Below are 26,353 nucleotides of genomic sequence, written 5' to 3'. Positions count from 1 at the left end.
TTCATTCACCAGAAGAATGTACTTCAGCAGCATGTTGTGTTATTAGAAAATTCATTATCAGAAGTAGTAGTAATATTGCAAGTAAACTAAAGTAGCCTAAGACAGCAGAGCAGGGTGAAGCGTAATCAGTATTATAATACTTAAAAATTGTCAATCAAGATAAATTGCTATCCCTTTGATGAAAATGTTTCCCTTTCAGGCAGTTATTATCCAATTCTTGGTACTTTGTGAAGTGACACTGTTATCCATATATGCATGTAAATGTATATATATATAATTTAATTTTTCATGTACTTAATACCTTTGAAGAGTTAAACAAAAGATTAAAGTAGTGATTTGTGTGAGCTAAAGAGGACATTAAGAACGATGGTTCTGCAGTTTTATATGAACATGGATTTGATAGTGAGATGGCAGACAAAATAGATGCCTCAGAAGATGTTGCAAGCCCCAAAAAGCTTTATTTACAGAGAACTCAATTTTTTTAAAAGAGAAAAACTCACTTGGAAAGAGCATATGGTTATTTGGTGACTTACAGTCACCAGAGTTTCCCCTTAACTCCTTTCCCCTGACCTGTCCTTCTCTGTTAGACAGTTCAGATAAAGCCAACTTCATTTGATAAATATGTGTTCTGAGATATGCTAATTAATGCAATTTTTGTCAATATGGGTACATTTTTCTCATTGTAATTTCCGATTGATCTTCCTTTTGGCAGAGGTTCCTAAACTAGAATTTTATATTTCTTAGTAACCACTCTGTCAAGGAGGTATAATTTAATACACTTTAGGAAAATGGAGAATCTTATTGTGATAAGAAGAAAATCCTTTATTTATCTGTGTTTTCAATATATCATAACAAATCTTCTAAAAACCTATTTGAGGTCGAGTGCGGTGGCTCACGCCTATAATCCCAGCATTTTGGGAGGCGGAGGTGGGCGGATCACCTGAGGTCAGGAGTTTGAGACCAGTCTGGCCACCATGGTGAAACAACGTCTCTGCTAAAAATAAAAATAAAAAAAAGTAGCTGAGCGTGGTGGCACACGCCTGTAATCCCAGCTACTCGGGAGGCTGAGACAGGAGAATTGCTTGAACCCAGGAGGCAGAGGTTGCAGTGAGCCGACATCGGGCCACTGCACTCCAGCCTGGGCAACAGAGCGAAACTCTGTCAAAAAAAAAAAAACCAACAACAACAAACAAACAACAACAAGAAAAAACAACAACAAAAAACTCCTATTTGAGTAGGGCACAGACCACAGAGGTACAGTTTGCTTTTTGATCTTGGGTGCCTTTTGCAAGCCGTGAGAGTAACTTTTATCTACATTACTACGTGAGTCACAAGGACAAATTCGACCATGAGTTCCTGGAGATTGAATTCCAACCAGACAAGAAACTGAGATGTGCCAACAACAGTAATTACAAGGATAATGTCATCATCAGAAAAGAGGCTTACATATATAAAAATATGATGGAGGAACTGAAGAGAATAATTAATGGCAGTGAAATTACCAAATAGTATGACGCTCTGTGGCCTCCGCCTCACCAGGAGGAGCTTGAAATCGTCATTGGACATGAACACGTTTCTTTTATAACATCTAAAATTGGTTCCCTTATTGATGTTAAGCAATCCAAGGATCCAGAAGGCTTAAGAATATTTTGTTATCTGGTTCATGACCAGGAAGTATCTGGTCTTCATTGTTACTGAATTACACTTCAAGATTAAGCCAATCTAGATTAAACATTGATGTGGACGCAAAGAAGGTGGATATAGCTGTTTTTAATCAACATTATCAGAAAATTTTTGTGTACATCAGAATAATATTTTTCATAAACTATAAATGATTGTGTCTAATAAATAGTGACAAAAATAACAAGTAAACTTAAAAACCTATTTGTAATCCTAATGGCCTCAAAGGTCATTTCTGAAGATACTGTAAAATACATGTTATTTCAAATAAATAAAATCTGTCTATTTAACTTTGATATATCACTAACAAGTATTGGAATATATTCTAAATTCCATGGCAAAAAGAATTCACAAAAAATTCAGGCTCCAACAATCATTAATATTCTCAATAGACTAATTACTGTGTGGTCCAAGTATATAGCACAGATGACTGAGGTCTTCTGCTGGAAGAATGCTATACCAGTACGGGCTAGTATACAATTCTTTTTGCTTTTTATTGATTTTATTTAAGGAATTTGTATATTTTCTTCCTTCCAAAGAGCAACCTTTATTCTTCATTGGAATCCTTGTAAATTAAAAGCAAAAAAAAAATATTTGTTTTATATCTGGAGAACAAATGGATGTTCCTCCTTCAGCCTCAGACAGAGTGATTGATAGCTTTGTTATCAAATTCTGAATGAAATAAATTTGTCTCACTTTGAGAGTAAATAGTGATAATCTCTGCCAACCAACTTGGATGTAACTCATTGCATTTCTATTGGCCAATGAATGTACCAGGAAATGGGCTTGAAAAAATGACATTTAAGTAGTACTTAAATAGTAATATAGACTATTTCGTTCATCTGGATAGTTTTCATTTCATTATTTACATGTACTGTTCTTCTATTATTTTTGCCATTCATTCTCTTATTAGAAGATTGGAAAGCTGAAATCTATTTGGTAGTGTTTATTCACAAATAGATATGTAGTAGGAGAATATATAGCATAGGGGTTAAATATGGCCCTAGAGTCTGGAAAGTCTGAATTAATATCTGTAGTAGACTATATTATTGTTCAGGGTGCTCCCTGCTACTCTCTGGGGAAAGATCCAACTACTCCACCCTATGATAGCATGATTAGCCTTGATCTCGCTAATGAAGTGTGAGCAAGTGACATTTTTCACTTCGGGGTAGAATGTTTAAGAGCCAGTGCACCATGGTTTATCAGGATGTCTTCTTATCTTTGTCATATACCTGAAAATATTTTAGATAAAACATTAATTCTGTGAGCTTGGGTTCCCTAGTGAAGAGATCATGAAGCAAAATGATAGCCAGTGTGCCATAAACATGGAATAGGGGTAAGGAATGAACCCCAGTGATTGTAAACCACTGAGAAGTGGGAGAGTGTTTGTTAACTGCTAAATAACCAAGTCTCAGTCCCCACTAGTTATGTAACCTTATGAGCAGGCTTACCACCCCTTTGGCTTAATTTCCTCATTTTCAAAATGGAGATAATCTAAACTAGATAATTTAGGTAAAACAGCACAGTGCCTACTATGTAATAAATACCTAGTAAATGATGGCTTGTATTATTGCTATTGTTAATACTGCCAGGAATTTCAGTAAATACTATAGATTATATGATTATCTCATGGAGTTTGAAGTTTGATAGGGGTCCTGTAAACCAATTCCTATAGCAATGAGATAAATGTCTCAAGACGATGAAGAGGTGCTTCCAAATCAGAAGCATTTAGCTTTAACAGGTTATCTGCAAAGTCTCCCTGAATGTATGACATTTGAGTTAAGAAGTAATGGGTAAGATTTTTCCAGGCAAACAAGAAGCATAAAGGCATTCTAGGTGGAAGGGCCAGCATTTACAACAAAAAAAAATGCATGGCCCCTTTTAAGAATTCCAAGCACTTTGTAACTCCAAGAAGGCTGGGTATGTGAGCTAAAGGGTTGAATCTTTATCCTCTAGATGACACAGCCCCATTGAAGGGTTTTAAGTCCAAGTGTGGCACCGTATCATACCACAGGTCAAGATGGAAAGAGTTATGCCATGTAAAGTAGACCCCCACAGCACCTTTTATACATAAGTACACTGCTAAAGTTTAAAATATGTTTCTCTTTATTCGAGCAAAATGGAGGTGGGCCACCTAACTCTAACATGGATTGGGTGGTCTGACTTGGTGAAAAGGGAACGCTAGGCCTCTTTGCACCACATAAGTTGCCCATTTAGGCCTCTTATAACTATATTAGTTGCTCATTTTTCCTGCCTTGGCCTTGGTTTCATGAAATTACTCTTTGAAAATATGTATGGATTCTACAATACTATGATAGAAGAAATATATATGTAATATTCACTAGCTTTTTACAATGAGTGGTTGTGGCTATCTAATGATTTAAGGTAGAAATCCCATAATGTTCAGAACATTTTTGAACACTTCAAATTAATAGTATACTTTCATAAAGGACAATTAATAACTTTGACAAATTAGAATAAAATTAAAAATGAATAAATAGTACTTTTTAGATTTTGTATTTAAGAATTTTGATTTGAAATTTTAAATATTAAGACATTTATAGTTTTTTAAATTATTAATTCTTATTAGAAATAAGATTCCATCTATTTTGAGTGAGCCTAAGATTCTCTGATACTGACCAGGATTCGTTTGAATTTTTCACTAATAATGACAGTTAATGTATATATGGAACTATATGTGTCATGAACAGACATAAGAATTTCATACGGAGGAATTCTTTTAATATTTATGGCAATCCTAAATGTTAGGCTATACTATTATTACGTTTTATACATAATAAAATTAAGATTTGAAGGGGGTAAGTGACTTGCCCAAGGTCAAACAGTATGAGGTGGACCTAAGATTTGAATTTGGCAGACTGGCTCCAGATTCCATGCTTTTAGCTACAATGGTATATTGCCTCCCGTTTTTACTGATCAGAGCACGTGTAAAAATTAGAGCAGTACATATATGTAAGTAATATGTGTGCCTTTTTGCTTTGAAGGGAGAGGAGGAATTAGTATTACCAATAATATTCTCTCTTCAGTGAAGTACCAGATTAAACCCCAAGCCAAATATATTTGACTAAGTCTGGAAAATTGTTGGAAAAATAAGGGGGACCAACCATGAGGAACCGTAGCTAGGAATCAGCTTGGCATACCACAGACCCCACCACAGGTCTAGACTGGTGTGTGGTCAAAGCCAATGTGACAGAGAGGTGGGTGCACATGGTCTAGGACAGCCAGGGCAGTCAGAACAGAAAAATCAGCAAGAGCAGTCAAGATGATGTGTAGAATAAATCAATGATTCTTAACAATTTAGATCTTTCATCTTAAGCCCTTTGATTTGACTTTCTGATCACAAGTCCTGATTATGATACAAATAACTAAAATCATTTATGAATTGAGCTCCTGACTGAGGAAGACACAAATAAGTTCTCTAACCACCTCACAATGATTTTAACACATCAGATAACTATTCTTTGGCAGAATGAAACAGAGACAGTAAACAGTTGGAGCTGAATTATTGCACTGGTGATGGTAATTCCTACTTCCTGGACCCTCAGTTCTCCCCTAGTTCCTTTATTCCAAAGAACAGCTTTTTAAGCTCTGCTTTCTGTTCTGACCTCTACTCAGTATCTCTGTTTAACTCTGGTTATCAAGAGTCAGATTTGTTTGTTGCTACAAAACACCTCCAACCAATACAATAGTAATCCCCCCTAAACTGAAAAAGTTATCTCTCATTCCACTATCCTTTCTTTATCAAAACCCCATTAAAAATGAGTAAATAGTACTTCTTAGATTATGTATTTAAGAATTTTGATTTGAAATTTCCTTTACTAAGAATAAATTTGAAGTGACAGCCACTGGTACTACAGGTATGCATAGCAACTTTATTCTGTAATGTATAGTTATCCAAAATTTTAGTGCTTTTTGTCCAATTATATTTACATCTCCCCTAACTCTATCATATGATATGGTTCTGAGTGTAATAATAATCATTCAACAAATTCATATTGAATTGAAGCATCACTGTCACTATTCTACTATTGTAAGTTCTGTGTACTTTGTTCTATATAAACATTCTCATCATATTAGGAAACTTATTTTTTGCTACACTCGTAGTATCTTTAGCAAAGAAGTGGACACTTGTCTTTCAGCAAAGAATACACACTCTCAGCCTGGCTATCATGCTGTTGCATTAAATTCAACCTTATTTTAAAACACATAGGTTTTCTTTATAGCTTGACACACATAAACAAAAAGTTTGACCATATTCCCATCTTTGACATTCTCCAGGCAGGCCCTACCATTGAATGCTTTGATACAGTAACTCATAGGTTATTTTAAAGTTACTTATCCGACAACCCAGCTGAAAATCAGCAGACAAAGAGTTCCAAACAGAAACCATAAACTCTATGAAACAGAATCTTGCGTAAATTATTTATTTTCTTCAAACTTAAGTGCACTTAGTTGTAAAATGAAAATGAATAATAATTCTAATCTGTAGTATTATACTAAGGACTAAATGAGATAAAGTCACTAAAGTGTTTAGTGCAGATAGTGACACAAATACTGATATATCTGAGAGAAGCAGGTTGAAACAAAACAAACGCATGAGCTTTACTATAGAAAAGTCTCTCAGACTTCTGTTCAAAAAATGTTTTATTCATTTTTTGGTACATAGCTCTTAACAAATCTGGTTATCTGTTTTCCACGCTACAACAGACTAAGATTAGCAAAGTGAAACATTGGTAGGGGAAAGCTCAGAGCACCCATCACTTTGGCTGGCACACAGTGGCTCTTCTATAAATGTTTATTTGTTAGCATTGCCATTATCAGCTAAGAACAGGCCATTTAGAGTCACCTTGCCTCAGCCAGGTGATTGAGGAGGCACATATAAAAAACAAATTTTAAGGAAGTAATAATGAACCTCAAAAGCCAGTATCATGCAAATATAGCCCTAAACATTTATGTAGACATTGAGGGACTCAGAATATTTACACACAATGGGAGTGTGTTGAGTGTATAAAAAGCAATGGATCTAGGCTTAGTCTCCAATCAAGGTCTTCCTCTCATAAGCTGTGTGAGCCTCAGAAAATTGTTCACTCACTCTGTAACCTCAGTGGCCCCAGCAGATAAGGGAGATAACAATAACTACTTCACAAGGTTGTTATGAAGACCAAATATATGTGTGAAGTGCCTGGCACATAAGCGTATTTAGTACACGTTGCGTAAGGTGGCAAAGAGATGGATAATACAATTTAGAATAACTTAATTTTTCACTTAAAAGTTTTCTCTTTTTGGCCGGGCGCGGTGGCTGACGCCTGTAATCCCAGCACTTCGGAAGGCCGAGGCGGGCGGATGACGAGGACAGGAGATCGAGATTATTCTGGCTAACGCGGTGAAACCCCGTCTCTACTAAAAATACAAAAAACTTAGCCGGGCGTGATGGCGGGCGTCTGTAGTCCCAGCTACTTGGGAGGCTGAGGCAGGAGAATGGCGTGAACCTGAGAGGCGGAGCTTGCAGTGAGCGGAGATCGCGCCACTGCACTCCAGCCTGGGCGACAGAGCAAGACTCAGTCTCAAAAAAAAAAAAAAAAAAAAAAAAAGAGATGTTTTTCTCTGTTTAAGGTTTTGCATTAAAAACTATAAGCCTCAATGATCCAGAGACTTTATTCAGATAGAATTCTTCATTCTTAGACAATGCTAGACAAATAAAGCGTTACTACCTATGAATTAGAAACACATACACCATTTTTAAAAGCATTATAAACACAAGTTAAAGGCATATATTGGATTTTCGTGACTATTTCACTATATATTATACATATATACATAATCATCAAGAGGTACTCCTTAAATATATACAATTTTAATAGTCAATTCTACCTCAGTAAAGCTGGGCAAATTAAAACATAGAAAAACATATACGACAAAGGATTCATAACCTTAATATGTAAAGCTACCCAAAGAGTTAATACAAAAACATTGTGGAACAAAAGTAGAATGAATGACAACTGGTATATACATATATATATATATATATACACATATACATTGACTAGGATGTGGGGAAATAGGCATCTTTACACACTGCTAGTCTGCCTGTAAGGCAAGTTCCCAATTTATATCAAAAGCTTCAAAATGTTTATTCTTTCATCCAGTAATACTAAAGAACATATTCAAGAGTTAATACAAAAGAATATTCACCTCTTATAGATTGGAAATATCATTACATTTGTGTTCAATTAATATGGAAATGGTTAAATGAATTGTAAATTATGGCTTATTCACATTAAGTAGTATATATTAATTTATACAATTCAATAATGTACAAACATGGTCCAAAAAACATGATCATAATATAACGTTAAGGGAAAAGCAACAAAACATATTGAATATTGTACATCACAACAACAGCAGATAAAGAAGAAAGCATAGTTTAAAAAACTACATGCACATATAAAAATTTAGATGAAAATTATATAGACATGTGATAATAATTATTTGGAATTATTTTGGGTGATTCTTGATTTCTTCTTTTTGCTTGTTTTAATTTTCTGCATTCTTTACCTTTACCATATAGTCCTTTTACAATAGAAAACATAATGGAAATGAATGTATATTGATTTGTATATAACCCTACTTATAAACAATACCATTTATTAGAAAACATGTAAAGTATATCTTCAATAATCTTATATTTCCATATTATTTGTAATTTTCCATACAATATTGTCTTAAGACCAAGTGACTTGAACTAAGTCATTTCATAAATAAGGGAGACAGCTCTATCATAAATGTAATTCTTCTTAAAGTCCATGGCCTTTTCTGCTATACTGAAAGTTGGCTTCCACTTAATCTCTGCATGGCAGTAAAAGAAGCCAACTTAATATTAAACTATACTGTCACTAGAATTCTATTCTGGATATTTTTAGAGTTATCCAGCATAAAATTATTTTTCATTTCATTGAGTTTTCTTCCTGACAAGTTTGGACTGCAAATTCTATTCAGAGTGGAAAGTTCAAATTAAAATGTCAGTTTTGATTCAATGAAGATGCTTTACTTTCAAAATATTTAAGACAAATATTTTCATTAAAACCAAGATGATTGGATGATAGAGTATGTAAATGTTGTGGTAAGTTCTATCATTTAGTAAAAATATCTTAAGCCTTATTACACAAATTCTGAAATTTTATATTGCATAAAAACTTTAGTCTCCAAAATACACATGTGCACATGTATATTTATATAAATATTTAAAACATATATAACAAGTTCAAGGATCTTATACTGTAGTTTGTCAACATCCATGATAAACAATCCAATCTGTTGACAAGCAATCTACAACAATTATTGACAAAGATAGCATCCGTTACACTCTGTACTCTAATGCAGCTCTCAATGATGAATTGCTATGGATTTTGTTGCATTTAATTTCTTTCCATATATATATACATATATATGTGTGTGTATATATATGTGTGTGTGTGTGTGTGTGTGTGTGTATATATAGATATATATATATATAGATATATATATATATATATATATATATATATATATATATATAAAATAACTCCTTTATGGTCCTTTTCCTCTACGGGAGATCAATGTAGACTTTTGGGGTTCACTTTAGTCTAGGTTGACAGCCTCCAGACACACAAAATGAACTTTCTGTATATCTTTCATTATTCAGAAAAATTGCACAATTTACAATACACCCACCACCCTACCCTCCAAATGGTTGAGCATTTAACAAACAACCTACGAAAGCCAGACCTCATAGGCAAGTTTCACTTGAGTTTACTTCACCCCTAATTGTGTACGGATCTCTTCAATCATGGTGCAAAGAGCTCTAATGGTTTATGGGAAGAGTTTCACACAAATTGTATTTCACCTCCCCTTCTGCCTCTCCTTAGGACCTATAAAGATTTCTGACTCACCTCTCTCAGCAACATCTCCCCTTGTTTCACTCTTGTCTAAAATTTTCAGTAAGGATGAGAAGGAAAGGACTTCTTTAGTCCTTTCTCCTCTGAGAATTATTGAGTACTCTTTCCCAGACCACAGGAAACTAAATCAGAGCCACATATAAGTTGATAATGATGTCCTAAGCATTGCACTACTTTTCTCTTTTCTTCCTCCTTTTCTCTTTTTCTCTTAGCCTTCATCTTGATTCTCCACCTCACATAAACACGACCAACCCTTCTTGAGATCCACCCCCGCAATATGGCCTAGCCTTAAAAGAAATTAAAGGAGGTTCTCCCAATAACACACACTCTAGTCATTACAGTCTCTGCTGCTTGTGTGTGTGTGTGTGCACGCCTTTTTTTAAAACCACTCCGGACCACTGCTAGAGCCCATCTCAGCCATACATGGCTTAGCAAGGGTATTGTATATGTCTTACTTTTAAATGGTTTTATTACAGACCAAAACACAATTATACATAACCAATCACAAGTATATTCTTTTTAACAGATTCAATCCAGTCGTCAAAATGCTTAAAATCAGGGATTCTACTGAATTCAACCAGATGTTTTTAACTTAGGCATGGCAAAATCAGAATTAGACATACCCATGAAAAACCAAAGTAAAGACAGTTTTGGCAATATCCAATTCTAGAAGGATTATCTTAGTCAATCCCCAATTCAAGTAACAATCATTATAGAGTACTTAGATTTTAGTACTAGTCTAACTTTATTGTGTGTTACAATAGCAAAATAAGATGAATTGGGTGAGAACTCAGGAAACGCATACACAAAAAAATTAGAAAACAAGGGGAACATGTAAAATAGCACAAATAAAAAGAAAATTACCAAATGAAAAACCAGAAATACTAAATAAATGTTTAGTGAAATGTTCAAGTGAAAAATTAGTAAAAGAATGTTTTGTGGAGGGTATGGAACTCAAAAGGCACTATGTGGATGAGAAACGTTTCAGGAAAGGACACAAGAAAGGACACAGAAGTAGAAATTAATAATAATATAAGGTTCTTGCAACCAAAAGCTATGAGGAGTAACTGAGTTCATTCACATATCTGTTTTACACACATCCCACAAAATGGGAAATTGAAAGTGGCTACAAATTCTTCCCTCTCCATCAAGAGCTAGTCTCTCTCTTTCTACATTTCATTCTTTTTAAATTTTTGTCAGTACATAGTAGGTGTATGTATTTACATGAGATGTTTTGATACAAGTATGCAATGTGAAATCAGCACATCATGGAGAATGAGGTATCCATCCCCTCAAGCATTTACCCTTTGAGTTACAAAGAATCCAATTACACTCTTTAAGTTATTTTTAAATGTACAATTAAGTTATTATTGACTACAGTCACCTTATTGTGCTATCAAATAGTGGGTCTTATTCATTCTTCTAACTACTTTTTTTTTGTACCCATTAATCATCCCTACCTACCCTCCAGCCCCGTACTGCTTTTTCCAACCTCTGGTAACCATCTTTCTTCTGTCTATGTTCATGAGTTAAATTGTTTTAATTTTTAGATCCCACAAATAAGTGAGAACATCTAATGTTTTTCTTTCTGTGCCTGACTTATTTCACTTAGCATAATGATTTCCAGTTCCATCCATGTTGTTGCAAATGACTGGATCTCATTCTCATTTATGAGTGAGTAGTACTCCATTGTATGTAAGTACCACATTTTCTTTATCCATTCAACTGTTGATAGACACTTAGGTTGCTTCCAAATCTTAACTATTGTAAACAGTGCTGCAACAAACACAGGAATGCAGATCTTTGATATACTGATTTCCTTTCTTGTGGGCATATACCCAGTGGTGGGATTGATGGATCATAAGGTATCTCAATTTTTAGTCTTTTGATGAACCACCAAACTGTTCTGTATAGTGGTTGTACTAATTACATTCCCACCAACAGTAAACAAGAGTTCCCCTTTCTCCATATCCTTGCCAACATTTGTTACTGCCTGTCTTTTGGAGACAAGCCATTTTAACTGTGGTGATTTCTCTCTACCTTTTACATCAATGTTGTCACTGTGGTGGTCCTTGGGCCAATCAGCAAACAGAACACAATCAGAGGTCTGAAAAACACCTGCACCTTACCGGCCTTTTGCTATACCTGGTGTCCTGAGACCACCACCAATGGAAAAAAATCAAAGCTATCCGCTGGAAGATGAAAGATAAAAGACCTCAAGGGAGAGAACTGAGATTACACAGACAACCATCAGACAGCCCCCAGGCACCACCCTGCCAACTGCCCGTGATGTGAGGCCAGCACTTGCCACCTGACCAAGGACACCTGAGTGAACCCCACAGACACCTATGGAGCCATCCTAGACAAAGAAATGTGCCAATCCACAAAACTGTGAAGTGAATGGTTGTTGTTTTAAGCATTAAGTTGTGGAGTGTTTTGTTTCACAGCAAAAGCACACAAAACACACACACACACACACACACACACTTCAGCTTTTTGTTTCCTTATTCAAAATTACTGCCATCCAGTTAACTAAATAAGTCTCCAAACTGATCATCCACTTTTCAGTATTTCTAACCCCCTTAACCACTGCTATCAGATTAACTTGTCAAAAAAAAATAGAATTTTGGTCCTCTCACTCTTCTGATTGCAAACTTTAAATAAGAATTCATCCACTCATTCAATATTTACTGATCACCTGAAAGGTACCAGCCACTAATCTAGATGTAGAAAATATAAATGGTGTAAAAAGTCCAGCTCCATAAGACAAATATTCTAGCTCATCATTTTCTGCAGTAAGGAATCTCCAATCTGACTTCTTGTAAGAAGGGAGAGATTCTTACAAGAAGCAGGGAGAGTTTTATAATTATTTACTGAAAACAAACAATGAAATGATAAACCATACATTGTTTAAATGATGATCTATAGAGAGAGGAAGCAGATGGGAGGAACAGGCTTGATTACTTTGACAATAATTTGTTTTGCAAATTTAAATTTGCAAAATTTAAATATTCTATATGTTATTATATATGTAAATATTCTATATATTATTATAAAACAAAATTGAGTTTATAAATTCATCTCTAAAAATGAAAATAAAATAAAATAGATGAGCCTTGACATATAATCAGTTGGTGTAATCAAACAGAGAAATGATTCAAAGTAACTTTAAAACAGAGCAAATTGGCTGTCTTCCTCTAGTGACATAAGCACTAGAACAAAAAGAATTTTTTACAAATACTTTCCAGTGGTAAGATAATTAGAAAATATATTATTAATATTGTTAATCTAAAACTTCCATTTGTGCATTGTAGGACAAAGCAAATGGTTCATTATATAATCTCATTCTAATATTCCTAGAGTCACTGAGAGCTGGGATTCTGGGGAAACCTGGAAAAAAGGAGATACCAAAATAAAACCCCATAGTGATAAATATGAATCAAAAGTATTGTATAAATTTTTAAATTAATGTTTAAAAATTTGTGGGTACATTGTGGGTGTTCATATTTATGGTGTACATGAGAGTTTTGATACAAGCATACACAAACCCATATTTATGAAAGAGTAAAATAATTAGAACACTGGGCAGTTGACGATATTTAAAAATTATTGTTTTTTAATGTGTAGTAATGGTATTGTGGCACTTTAAAGTCTGTACTTAGAGATACATATTGAAATGTTATGGATGGAGTATTATAATCTCAGAGATTGGCTTCAAAATAATATAGAAGGTAGGGGGAGCTGTAGCGGTACAAATGAAACAAGACTGTCTGTGAGTGTGCAATTATTGAAGTTAGGTGATGGGTGCATGAGCATTCACTATACTGTTCTGCCTACTTTTGTATATATTTAAAATTTTTCATAACAAAAAGTTTAAAAAACGTGTATTGATACAAAGGCCCCACCTCCAGAGATTCTAACTTAATTGGTCTGGGACTCAGGTACTGAAAGAAAGGATGGAAAGAAGGAAGGAAGAAAGAAAGAAGGAAGGAAGGAAGGAAGGAAGGAAGGAAGGAAGGAAGGAAGGAAGGAAGGAAGGAAGGAAAGAAGGAAGGGAGAGGAAAGAAGGGAGGGAAGGAGAAAAAGAGCAAGCAGGCTCTGTGTGTGACCCTACTGCCCTGTTTGGGCCTAGAACCATTTGCCTACCCTCCAGCCATTCCATTTCTTCCTGTGACTCAGCAATGTTTGTACTTCTCAGTGGTTCTATCAAAATTAACTGGGGTCCATGTTAAACACGCTGATTCCTGGGCCTCACCCCAGAGTGACTAAACAGACTCTTGGAAGGTTGGGGTGAATCCTGGGAATGCATACATTGAATAATCTCTGTGGGTGATTCTGTTATAAACTCAAGATGAAAAACACCCCTGTGCTCAATGGAGCAGGACTCCCATTGTCTCCTGCACACAGCCCTGGCCCTATCACTCCCGTGCCTTTGTTCATTTTATTCCTTCCTTCTCCACCTGAAATGTCTTCCCCTTATCTTTATCTAAATCATGCCTGCTCTATAACCAAGTTCACAAATCACCCATCCATGAAGCCTATTCCCTTCAGGGAAGTGATTCCTTCCTCCTGTGAACTCAGTTTTTTCCCCTGTGCATAGGTTTATATCTGTTTATATATAATGCTTCAGCTCCTTTACTCAGCAAGAAGCTGCTTTAGGTCAACAGGCCTTTTTTTCATATTTCTGTAATTTAGGCATTGTTAAGACATATGCTGAATCTATGACTCAATGAAAATATAGCAGTGGATAGGATCCAGAACACAGTGCTTGCCCATTACGTGCTCTTCTCTTAAGGGCTAGTTAACAACCCCATACTATCCTAAATATGCAAGGAAGTCCCTCTCAGGGAAAGACGGTAGTGAGAGGAAGACCACACAAGATAAATGACTATCAACATTTCTCAAGAATCAGCTAAATCAGCTATAAAACCTTAAATACTTTCTAAATCAAAATGTCACACTTACCATTTTTCCAAATGAAAGAAATTGGTTTAAAGAAAAATATTCCAAAGTACTATTTTACTTATAAAAACTGTGTTCAAAAAGTGTTGAGCATCCTAAGAGGTTATGTTTTATAAAAATGTAAATAAATATACCTTTATGTATAAGCGTATTTCAATTTTATAAGGCTTCTAAAGAAAAGTGATATATTTTTATAAACACCTCTACTTCAGATTCCTAAAGGAAAAAAAAAAAACTTTAAACTTTGACAGAGAGGTTTATCATTATAAATTAGTGGATAGCCCTCACTGAGTGCTGACTGTACACCAGGTGCTATGCTCAGCAGTTTACATCATTCTCTCACTTAGTCTTCTCAACAACATTCTTATGAGTTGGGCTTGTTTGTGGTTTATGGATGACAACAGGGAGATCTGGAGGGGTTGGGTAACTGCACAGTCATTGAACTGACAGAACCAGGATCAAGGCCCTGTATACCTGATTGTTTCTACAGACTCTTGCTTTCTTGGCACTCTGCTGTCTATCGAGAATAAAACCACCAAGAGCTGGGGAAGTGGGCAGGGAGAAGGACGGAGTGTGGACTAGAGGATGAGGGACAGGATGAGCTGAGGGCTTGGCTGTCAGACAAATCTCGGTTCATATCTTATTCTTGTCCCTGTATGCACCTCTCTGATGTTCAGCTCCCTTCTCTATAACAATGTGGGCTACTTGGAGCTGTTGTAAGGAGCTGTGTAAGATGATGCATGTGAGGTCCCTAGCTTAACAAACTGGAGGTATTGGTAATAACAGCCGGTGTCATCAACTTTGGCGTTATCATGAGCCATGTGTCCTTGCAGATTTCTTGTTACTGGATTATCATATAATTCAGTGAAATGCACTGACTGATTTTTCAGCCTGTGCAGATTCTGCTGAAGTCACACAGTTATCATCTAATTTGTTGTTGTTCTTTGGGGAGATTTTGTATCAAATATTGTAAAGCATTAGGTATAAAAGAGAGTGTTATATTCAAAACGTTTCAAACTTTCATCTAATTCCAAACCCATGAGCTAAGCAGCAGTCAGTAACTGTACTTCACACAATCTGTCATATAGGCCAAATGATCCACTCTGTGCACAAATCATGCCCAAAGGAACATGGCCCAGGAAGGGTCAATACAGTATACCTGTCACAATTAGCCTGTCTAGCAGTCCTTCTGCAGCCTGCTTTGCTTCACCCAGGGATAATGGTGGTCATTACTTACTTTCCTAGAGCAATCCTTCCAAAAGGCTCATGCCTGACAAGAAGGAATGGAACTGAGAGGGCAGTGGGACACTCGGCATGCCATTCCTCCCTCATTTCTCCCTCTAATTGGATTGATTTTTCCATAAGTGTGTCTGGGTAGGGACATACCTCTTAGGATATCTAAGTTAGCGGGGAAAAAGATCTCTTCTACAGTCCATCTGTACCATCCATCCAGCAGGTACACATGGAGTTTTCTGGAGTGGTCTGAGTCCATGATTAAATTCTAGGAGAACCCAATACTTAGATATGCACACTTTTCTGCCTTCAAACTGGGGTGGAGTTTGAGTAACTGAGTTGGTGGTCAGAGGTGCGGAGAGAGAGACTAGCATTCTTGATAAACTATTACCTTGTTATTGGTCAATTACATAGATATTACTTGTAGAAAGAAGTTTACAATATCTACATTGTTTGTGAGAAACATAAATTATTGACCCATATAAACAATTTTTCATTTGTTATATTTCTGTGTATAATATTTAGTCTGCAGGGGGAAAAAATTCTTCACTAGTACCTTCCTAGTGATATGAATTAAAGGAAAAAAGTAATAAAATTAATTGTCTATTTATAACTTAGAAATAACTACAAATATTTTGACAGAATGATTCAGAAATCCATAGTAAAGAGCATACTTTTTTTTTCCAGGCAAACATGTGGTTCTCATACCTCCACAATGGCTGAAAATATTTTGCTCTCTGGGGGAATCTTGCACATACTAATTTATGGAGAACTTTTATTCTCTTTTTATTCACAGAGAGGGAGGATTGAAGAGCCTATCTTTTTAATGTAGTGTGAACATTTCTTAAAACTTAAGATCATTTATGTTTTTCTAAAAGATATGTTCAGATGTTTACACTTTAAATAATATAGCTATTTTTACATAAATACAGAAAATACAGGATATAAATACAATATTAAATGTACAATCTTGCTATGGAGCCAGCACTAAAATAGGATTTTTATTGTTAAAATCTTCCTAAGAGCACTCTGCATTGATGAGATTAAGCTGCTGTGAAGTCTGTTTTATCCATCCTTGAAATTATTTTGTCAGTCTCTTTTACTATCTAAGTATTTTTTACAGTTAGAATTAAGAACCCAAACCTTTCATTAGTAGTCTTATAAATTCTTAGTAGAAAATCTGTACACCAAAGAAAGGAAACAAAATTTCTTCTTAAGTAGAGGATGTCCTACGACTTGAAACAATGAATAAATAATGTAAATAATACACTTTTCAAAATTTATATTTTCTCTACTAGAATGACAGAGGGGAAACATTATAGCCAAATAGGCAAAGAAACCTTTGTCATGCTTCCAGTACAAGGGCTTAAGCTTTCTTAGGTATTCCTGCACCATTCTATAATGGTTGCTGAGTAACATTAGCATAATCCTGAATTATTAAGAAAATTAGAGGTCAGATTTACTTTACAGGAGAATTCAACCTATCTGAATCAGGCCTGAGAGGGTCATAGCATTCCAGATGTGTGCCTGGTGGTAGGTGTAAAGTGCACCACATGTAGAGAATGTGCACAGTAAGAAAAAAGACAAATTACCCGGAGCTATTACTGTCATTAGTTCCATCAGCCTGGGAAGCCCTCCCACGGCATTTTCAGTGTAGTGTGTGGAGCAGGCCTGGGGCTTATCACATCTCGCAGGGGGTCGTCTTCCGCCGGGCATAGTCACATAGTTTGACATTTCACTTAAAAAAAAAAAAAAAAAAAAAAGTCTGGGCCCTCATTCTCCATACAGGCATCTGTTTCCCAGCTCCACAACCAGTGGCGAAAATAAAGGGAGAGCCAGCCCACTGAAGGCTGCAATCATTTATCTGATGGCAGAATTGCTAGCCTTTCTAGAGGTGCACACTATTCTTTCACATAATCAGTTTTAAGCCAGGGACAATAAGCCTCTGCTACTACATTGTACCAGAAGCTCCTTTGAAGGTTGTTTGACTAACCTTTTGAATATTTCACCATAATTAAAAGGTTAGGGATCTATCCCACAAGAAATGTGATGAAATAATGAAACATGCATAATGTTAGATGAAATATTGTGTTTAGACTGTACAGTGGGAACCAATGAGAAACACTTAAGGGACAACTGATGCAACAAAGCCATTTTCCCAAGATGGTTTTCATTGTAGAGGTGCACATGGACAATATTTATTCTGGGATATTAAGCAAAAAGAGCAAAACACTATAAATACATATAATAATCATAACTATGTAGGAATCTGTGCCCGTGGCAAGTAATACACATAAAAGAAATGGGTTGTGGTAAGGTGCTATGATTTTTGTAAACTATCCTTTAATTATTTGCTAAAATCCCTTTCATGTTGCATATTCTCCTCAGTTAAAGGAAACCACAAAAGTATTAATATATGTATACAAGCATTCTCATGAAGGAAACAGAAACAGTGAAAAAAGAAAGAAATCAAATGTAAAAACACAAAGTATTTCCCACTTCATCTTTAGGGAAAAACATAAAGATTTAGCATCCATCTGAACAGAGAGAAAAAAGAAAGATGCAAAGAACACCAAGTAAATTCATTCAAGAGAATAAAGCTTTTCTCATACCCTTCTTAATAACAATAATAACAATCCCACATATAGGGTTTATTGCCTAGTAGGTACACATCAGATTTATCCTGCAAGCATTTCTCCTGCATGTGGAAACTATGGTTCAGAGAAACTAAGTAACATGCCCAAGGTCAAACAGCAAGTATTCATATCCCAGACTGCCTGACTCCATGCTCTTAACCTTTGTTACAGCCTCTCTTTCTCTCTCTCTCTCTTTCTCTCTCTCTCTCTCCTTTCTCTCTCTTTTGTCTGTCTCTGTCTCTCTCCCTCGTCTCTCTGCTGTTCAGAATCTTTAAGTCCCAGTCATCATTTTGAAGTAGCCCTCTTTTCTGTTTCTTCCCTTGACCATAGCCTTTAATAAAGCAGTACAGATTTCATCTGCCATTGGAAGGTCTGATATTCACTCATACTTTAGTTCATATCCAGTAAATAAATATTTCAGTATCTTCCATGCATTGTAATGGTACAAAGATTGTGAGATACAAAGCTGAAAAAAAAAAAAAACACTTTGAGAACCTACAGACATGTCAGGAATACAAATATGCAAACTGCCAAATGCAGTCTGTTACAAGAGCCCAAGACCTCTGCTTCTTGAAAAACTGGCAACTGAACTGAGAAATTAAAGGAAGAGATAGGAAAGGCAGATGAATGCTGCATGGTAGGAAAAAAATCCCTGTAGAGGGTGAAAGGGAAAAAAAATAAAAAGAAGACAAAAAAGCAAACAAAACCAAAAAAAAAAACAAAAAAACGACCATGGTACATTCCAGAAACTTGAAAGTGATCCATCTAGCCAGACTTAGAGTGCGATAATAAGCATCAGAACTGTTGTAACTGGAACAGTCACATTTTTAAAGACCTGGAGGGTTTCCTTTTCCAGGAAAAAAATGATTAAAGATCTCAAAAGCAACACTCAACACTTTTTAGGGTTTGCCTTATTGCATGTCAACAGTAAAAATTGCTTTGTGAGACAGCCATTGCTATACACTGAGCTCTACAGAGTTAAGTGCCAGGACAAGTGAGAGCTGGACAGTCCCTGGACAACTCTTCTTCACTGAGAAAAAATAACTAAACATGGTCAAAGGAGAGCCTTAGAAGCCAAGAGGCAAAATGTCATCATATGCATTCTTCATGAAATCTTGCCAAGAACAGCACAAGAAGCAGCACTCAGATGTTTCCGTCAACTTCTCAGAATTTTCTAAGAAATGCTTAGAGAGGTGAAAGACCATGGGTTCAAAACAGAAAGGGAAATCTGAAGATAGGGCAAAGGCAGACAAGGTCAGTTTATGAAAGAGAAATGAAAACAAATATCCCTCCTGCAGGGGAAACAAAAAAGAAATCAAGGATCCCAGTGCACCCAATAGGCCTCCTTTGGCCTTATTGTTCTCTTATGATTGTCACCCCCAAATCAAAGAACATCCTGGCCTATGTGTAGGTGATGTTGCAAAGAAACTGGCAGAGGTGGAATAACACTGCTGCAGATGACAAGAAGCTTTATGAAAAGAAGGCTGCAAAGCTGAAGGAAAATTACAAAGAGGATATTGCTGTATACTAATCTAAAGGAAAGCCTGATGCAACAAAAACGGGAGTTATTAAGGCTGAAAAAAGCCAGAAAAAGAAGGAAGAGGAGGAAAATGAAAATAAAAAAGAAGATGATGATGAATAAGATGGTTCTAACAGTTTTTCTCCTTTGTCTATAAAACATTTAACCCCCCTGTATACAACTCCCTCCTTTTAAGGAAAAAAAACTGAAATCTAAGACTAAGATTTGTTTTTAAACTATTCATTTTGTGTATAGTCAGCGCACTGTTGAATGTGTCTTTAGATAGACCTGTCTAATAGCCATTAACTTTGCCTGGTACAGTGTGGGGGTTGTAAATTGGTGTGGAAATTTAAAGCATGTTCTTCTTGGTGCACAGCACAAATTAGTTTTATATGGGGATAGTAGTGTTGTCATCTTCAGTTGTCTCTGATGCAGCTTATATTAGGAAATAATTGTTGTTCTGTTAACAGAATACTACCCTGTAATTGCAAAAAAAAAAAAAAAAAAAAAAAAGTTGCAGTTCTTGCAGTTCTTTTGTTGACATTCTGAATGCTCCTAAGTAAGTAAGGTTTATTTATTTATTTATTTATTTTTTGAGATGGAGTCTCACTTTGTCGCCCAGGCTGGAATGCAGTGGCAAGATCTCGGCTCACGGCAGCCTCCACCTCCTGGGTTCAAGCGATTCTCCACTCATGTAGCTGGCATTACAGGCATGAGTCACTATGCCTGGCTAATTTTTGTATTTTCGTAGAGATGGGATTTCACCATGTTGACCAGGCTGGTCTCAAACTCCTGGCCTTAAGTAATCTGCCTGCTTTGGCCTCCCAAAGTGCTGGGATTACAGGCATGAGCCATTGTGCCTAACCAACTATATATAATTTTTTATTAAAATAAATAAATAAAAACTGCTTTTTGAATAAGCACATCTAAATTAAGTGTTGTTATGCAAATTACTGATTCAATTAACTTAAATAATTGCTGCTTGTATCCACAAATTCTGTGAGGACTTGGGCATGTTCTCTTGACTAGAGATTATTTTCCTCTTCTGCAAAATGGAATACACCTATGTCTTAGTATGTTTTCTGCTGCTAGAACAGAGCACCACAGACGGGTAATTTATAAAGACAGGAAATTCATTTGGCTCACAGTTCTAGAGGTTTGTAAATCCAAGAGTACGGAGGTGTTATCTGGTGATGGTCATCCCGTATCAGAAGATATCACATGGTGAGACAGAGAGAGGAAATTGGGCAGCATTCATTCTTTTTATCAGGAGCTCACTCTCGCTATTACCAATCCTCTCTTGCAATAACACCATTCATCCATTCATGATGGTGGAGTCTTCATGACCTAATCGCCCCCTAAAGGTCCTGCCTCTCAACACTGTTACAATGGCAATTAAGTTTCTAACATATGAACTTTTGTGGGACACATTCAAACTATAGCAACCTATCTTACACGTTTGCAGATGAGAATGAGAAACAATGTAAAATTATCACCTAGCCAGGGGCCTGGCACATAGATGATAACCATTAAGTGGTAGCTATAGTAGAAGAGTTTAGAAAGCCAAATGTCTTTAAATCTCAATTTAGTGACAAGAAGCAGAAAAAGTCATTTTCTCATCTGCTTCATACTTGGTCGTCAGTCCTGATTGGTTGTTCAAATACGTGAATATTTTACTAACAGCAGAGTTCAATTTTGCTAATGATTCCAAAGCCTTCCTGCCTTTCCCCTACTTCATGTCCATTTATGTTTTAATAAGAATATGTGCTATGGATCAACAGCTTCAAGTCAGAAGTCTTGATACATTCAAGATAAGGACTCTAGGAACAGTTAGGATGCTCTTAGGCTTAGCAAAAGGTGCCCCAAAAGTTCTTGTTCGCTGCCTCTGTCTTCTAGCTACCCATCTGGCTTATGAGTGGCTTACTATAGAGCTAATCAGTTCAATGCCAAGAGGTCTGGGGAGTCCTTTAGAAAGCCTGACTGTTATGAATTTATCTAGGCATGTATCTTTCTGAGACATTTAATTGTATTATGCCTTGTAAAACCTAGACCTTTATTTAATTCTACAACTTTCCATGATACGCTGTATATGTATTCTTGCTAAGCAATAGTGAATAATTTGGACTGCCACCCTGAGATAGTGGGTGATGAGAAAGAAAATGATTCTCATTAACTCTCAAGTTTAATAATTATTTTTTGTATCATTAATTTTGAAGAAATTTTTTTTTTCCTTTCTAGAAGAACACCAATTTGGTGAAAACAAATGTAGTTTGAACAGTTACGGTGTGTTTTTTTTTTCCCCCACATATGGACCATCAAGATTTGTCTTTGAAAACAGATAATTAATATCACAATATCAAATTAATACAGTTAGAAGAGGTAAACTATTTTTCCATTGTTAATATACTTTGTACGTGATGTGCATTTTAGAAATCGCATGGGTGAACACTGAATGATGATAGTTCATTCAGAAAAAAATCAAGATTTAGATTAGAAGACTTTTATGTATCACATTTGGATTCTTCAAGGAATGGAATAATTAAAATATTTATAATTATGGAAGTACTCTCATTTTTATTGCTTTGTATAATTTTAGCATAATCAAAGTTAGAGCTCAAAAGAAAAAAGATGGAATCCTTATCATTCCGGAAGGAAATGGCATTAAAGAAGTCACCATAACTAAACATTTTTAAAACTGAGTGTTTTCAATTAGACTCATCAAATTATTTTGCTTTATCTTGACACACTTATCTATACTACTCCTTATGCATTTTCTTACCCATCAGATGGGTTTTTCCTTTCTATGTGCTCCACACTGACCCTCAAAAATCTTCAAATCTTTTCTTCCTCTATTCATTTCAACATTTACTAGCGACTTTATGATTTATCCTCTTGTATATACTCCAAACTATTGGGTGGTGAGTCATTAACCTTTTAAAGTTATTTTGAATTACAAATAATAGCTAACCTAGTGTGATTATAAGTGCTACTAGGTTTAGTCTTTATTTCCCCCAATGAGCTTGCATTCTAGGGCACACCTATAGTTGAATATGCCCTATCATTTTGCAAAAAGCAAAGCAGAACTAAGAGAAACTATAAACTCTTGGTAGGTATCCATCCCAGGAGAGGCAAATTATGGCAGATAGTATTACTGATTTTCTATTACCATGGACACCTCAGCAATGCAAAATGATACATTACCCTCTGATTGCTCAGTGTTATCAGGCTTGCAAAGTATCAGCTGGTTGATATGTCGCAGTACAAAATATATAAAAACCTTGCTTCTTTCCACCTGAATTTCAAAGGCTCAACAGATTAAGAACTTACCGTGGTTTTTAAGTCTGTTGCTTGTTTTCAAATCTTTGCAGCTGAGTTTTTAACAGTATGGTAATACATAGTTCAAGGAATATTACCTTCTGATGAAACACCACAAATTTTAGCATAGTGGCAACGAAACCAAGCAAATTGCTAACTTCTTAAACAGTTTTACAACATGCCAATAGACATTTCTCTTAGATTTTTGCCTAGACTCTTGTAATTATTGGACAATTACCTCTCCATACTCACTTTCTTTTGACAGCTTAGTTCTAGCCTCTGGGAGTTTAACATCTAATTGGTTTGTTTGCTTAGACTGTGGAATCTTGAGTCTTCTTGAACTCAGCAAAGTCAGACAGCCAAAGGAGTTAAAAATATTTTAGTTAGTTCTATCCTCTGGAACCCATCTAAAAGGGTTAATAGAAGTACGGGCCTCTGGTACTTCTTCAGTCATTCTTCACAAGCCTGGTAACTAGACTCAGTGAATGTTTGGTTATTAGAGTGGATCTCTATAGAATCACCACACTCAATAAATGTCCAATAACAACAGTGAAGAGTTAGAAGAACTATATTTAAAATATTTTCTCCCTAATTCCCCTCCTAAATCTGGCTTCCATCTTTGCCTCTTTATGGTATCCAATGACCTCCATTCAGCCAAGTTCAAAGGCATTTTCTCTGTCCTTATCTTCCTTGATCTTTCTGATGTATGGGGCACAGCTTTTCATACCTGCCCCTTTGAAGACTTCTGGCTTCAGTTCCGGAGACATTTCTATTGTCTTTTATTTTTCCTCATCACCACCCTGATCTCTTCACTTATTTCTCACATTTATGTCTTTCTTTTTTTTCTTATACCTTTCCAGTCACTTTTTTTCCAATGTATCTTTGATGAATTACTATATTATTTGTGTCTTCCTGCTTTTTAAAACTCTTCACAGATTCTTTTATTTTCACTAAGTTATACAAGAGAATAACTTCCAGATACCTAACACTGATCTATTTCTTTATGTACAGTGTTAGATACAACAAGGGTATATCAAAACTCAAACACACAGCTTCAATATATTAATACAATTTATGCATATACATTTATCTCATTTTCACTTTTTTTGAGCATTCGCCACCTTTTCAAAGGTCACCTCCTCAAAGAAGCATTGCTTGATATCAATTTCTCCATCCCCTTTCTCTGGGTGATTTTTCTTTATAGTGTCTATCCGTGCCTTCATTATAGTATGCACTTATTTGTATGTTCTTTGAATGCACCACAAAAATGTAAGCTCCATGAAGGCAGAACTCTGTTTTGTTCACTTCTACATAACTAGCACATAGAATAGTGCATGACACATAGTAAACACTAGAGAAAAATTTGAATGGATTAATGAAACAGTGAGTAAGTGAGTAAATGCACATTTCCTTCAGATGCTGTAATTCAGATTCGGAACCTCAGTCATCCTTGACTTCTTAATGCTGCCTTAATGCTCTAGTCTATATCTGGCTTAGTCTAGGCTAGGGAAATGCAACAAATAAGACACAATAATTCAGTGGCTTAAAGAAACTAAAACATTTATTTCTCCTTTACAGTTTGAGCTGAATGTTTCAAGTTGCAGGCAGCTCCACTCCCTGACGTTATCTGGGACATTGGTTATTTCTGTCATGTTGCTTTTCTATATGTATACCTTTGTGAGTACCAGCTAGTTGGATGGAAAAAGACAGCATAAAGGAAGCATACTCACTATCTCAAGGTCTAAGCCTAGAATGACCCACAGTACTTCTGTTGTATTAATGCTCTAGTGATTTAGGTTTGTTTTTTACATCAAAAAACAAATCTGTTTAGATTCCATTAGCAATATGTAGTCATGTGATCCACCCAACTAACTGTAAGGGAGCCTGGCATACGCAGCCTATCCATATGCTTACAAAGAAGGGAAAAATAAATTCTGATGCACAACTACCAGACTCCCCATATGAGTAAGTTCCTTGGAATTTGTCACAGATCAATTTCTTCCTTTCTCTTCATGCCACTCCCTGCCTGAACCACTAGGATCCTTGACTTGTTATTTTCCTGGCCTTCAGTCTTTCATCTTACCACCCTATCTCATTTCAAAAGCCAAATGACTTTTCCAAATTATAACTATGACTTTTAATTCCTGGTCTCAAAATCCTGTGGCTAGCAATTCCTACTTATGACAAGTTCAAATTATTTGGGATGGATTTCAAAATTCTCTTCAGTGCTGATATCCTCCACAACTTCACAAAGTTAGGCTCTAAAAATTTTTAAAGTCCAGCACATTTTACGTACACTAGCCAATGTTCATGTGGCTTTCTCTCCTAGAGTTTCTTAAAGTGGAGACTTAAATTTTCAGTTATATGACATCACCGTACATTTTTCTTCAAGGCCCTGTATATAAGGGGCTTTCGGAACAGTGTTTGATAATGTAATTGAAAAGTCACAAAATAAAACTGCAACCTAGATTTGATGTAAAAAACAAATCTATATCACCAGAGCATTAATACAAGCAGTTATTATAAATTTCCTCAAGCAATAGTTTCTCTGTAATCATTTTGCAAAAGCCCATTTTTTAAGGCAATGGTTCTCAATATGTGCTCTGGGGAACTCTAAGAAGATGTTCCCAAAATCTTTTCAGGGAGTCTGTGAGGTCAAAACTCTTTTCAGGATAATGTTGGGCCAGGCCTGGTGGCTCATGCTTGCAATCCCAGCACTTTGGAGGCCAAGGTGGGTGGATCACTTGAGGCCAGGAGTTCAAGATCAGCCTGGCTAACATAGCAAAACCCTGTTTCTACTAAAATACAAAACTTAGTCAAGCATGGTGGTGGGCATCTGTAATCCCAGCTACGTGGGAGGCTGAGGCAGGAGAATAGCTTGAACCCGGGAGAGGTCAGTAGCCGACATCATGTCACTGCACTCCAGCCTGGGTGACAGAGTGAGACACTGTCTCAAAGAAAAAGAAAAAAAGTTAAGACCTCATTTGCCTTTTTACTTTCATTCTTTCACAAGTGAACCTGGAGTTTCAGAGGCTACATGATATCACTATAGT

General features: G+C 35.9%; 2 pseudogenes; both read left to right on the top strand.

The window, feature by feature from the left end:
* The first annotated feature begins 1,284 nt into the window (after positions 1 to 1,284).
* Positions 1,285 to 1,809, top strand: LOC105379196 (protein mago nashi homolog; annotated as a pseudogene).
* HMGB1P47 (high mobility group box 1 pseudogene 47) lies at positions 19,503 to 20,305 on the top strand (annotated as a pseudogene).
* Positions 20,306 to 26,353: the final 6,048 nt, after the last annotated feature.

Source organism: Homo sapiens, chromosome 5, assembly GCF_000001405.40.
Source record: "Homo sapiens chromosome 5, GRCh38.p14 Primary Assembly".
NCBI lineage: Eukaryota > Metazoa > Chordata > Mammalia > Primates > Hominidae > Homo > Homo sapiens.
Note: the sequence above shows the minus strand (reverse complement) of the source record. Positions and strands in the feature narration are given on the sequence as shown.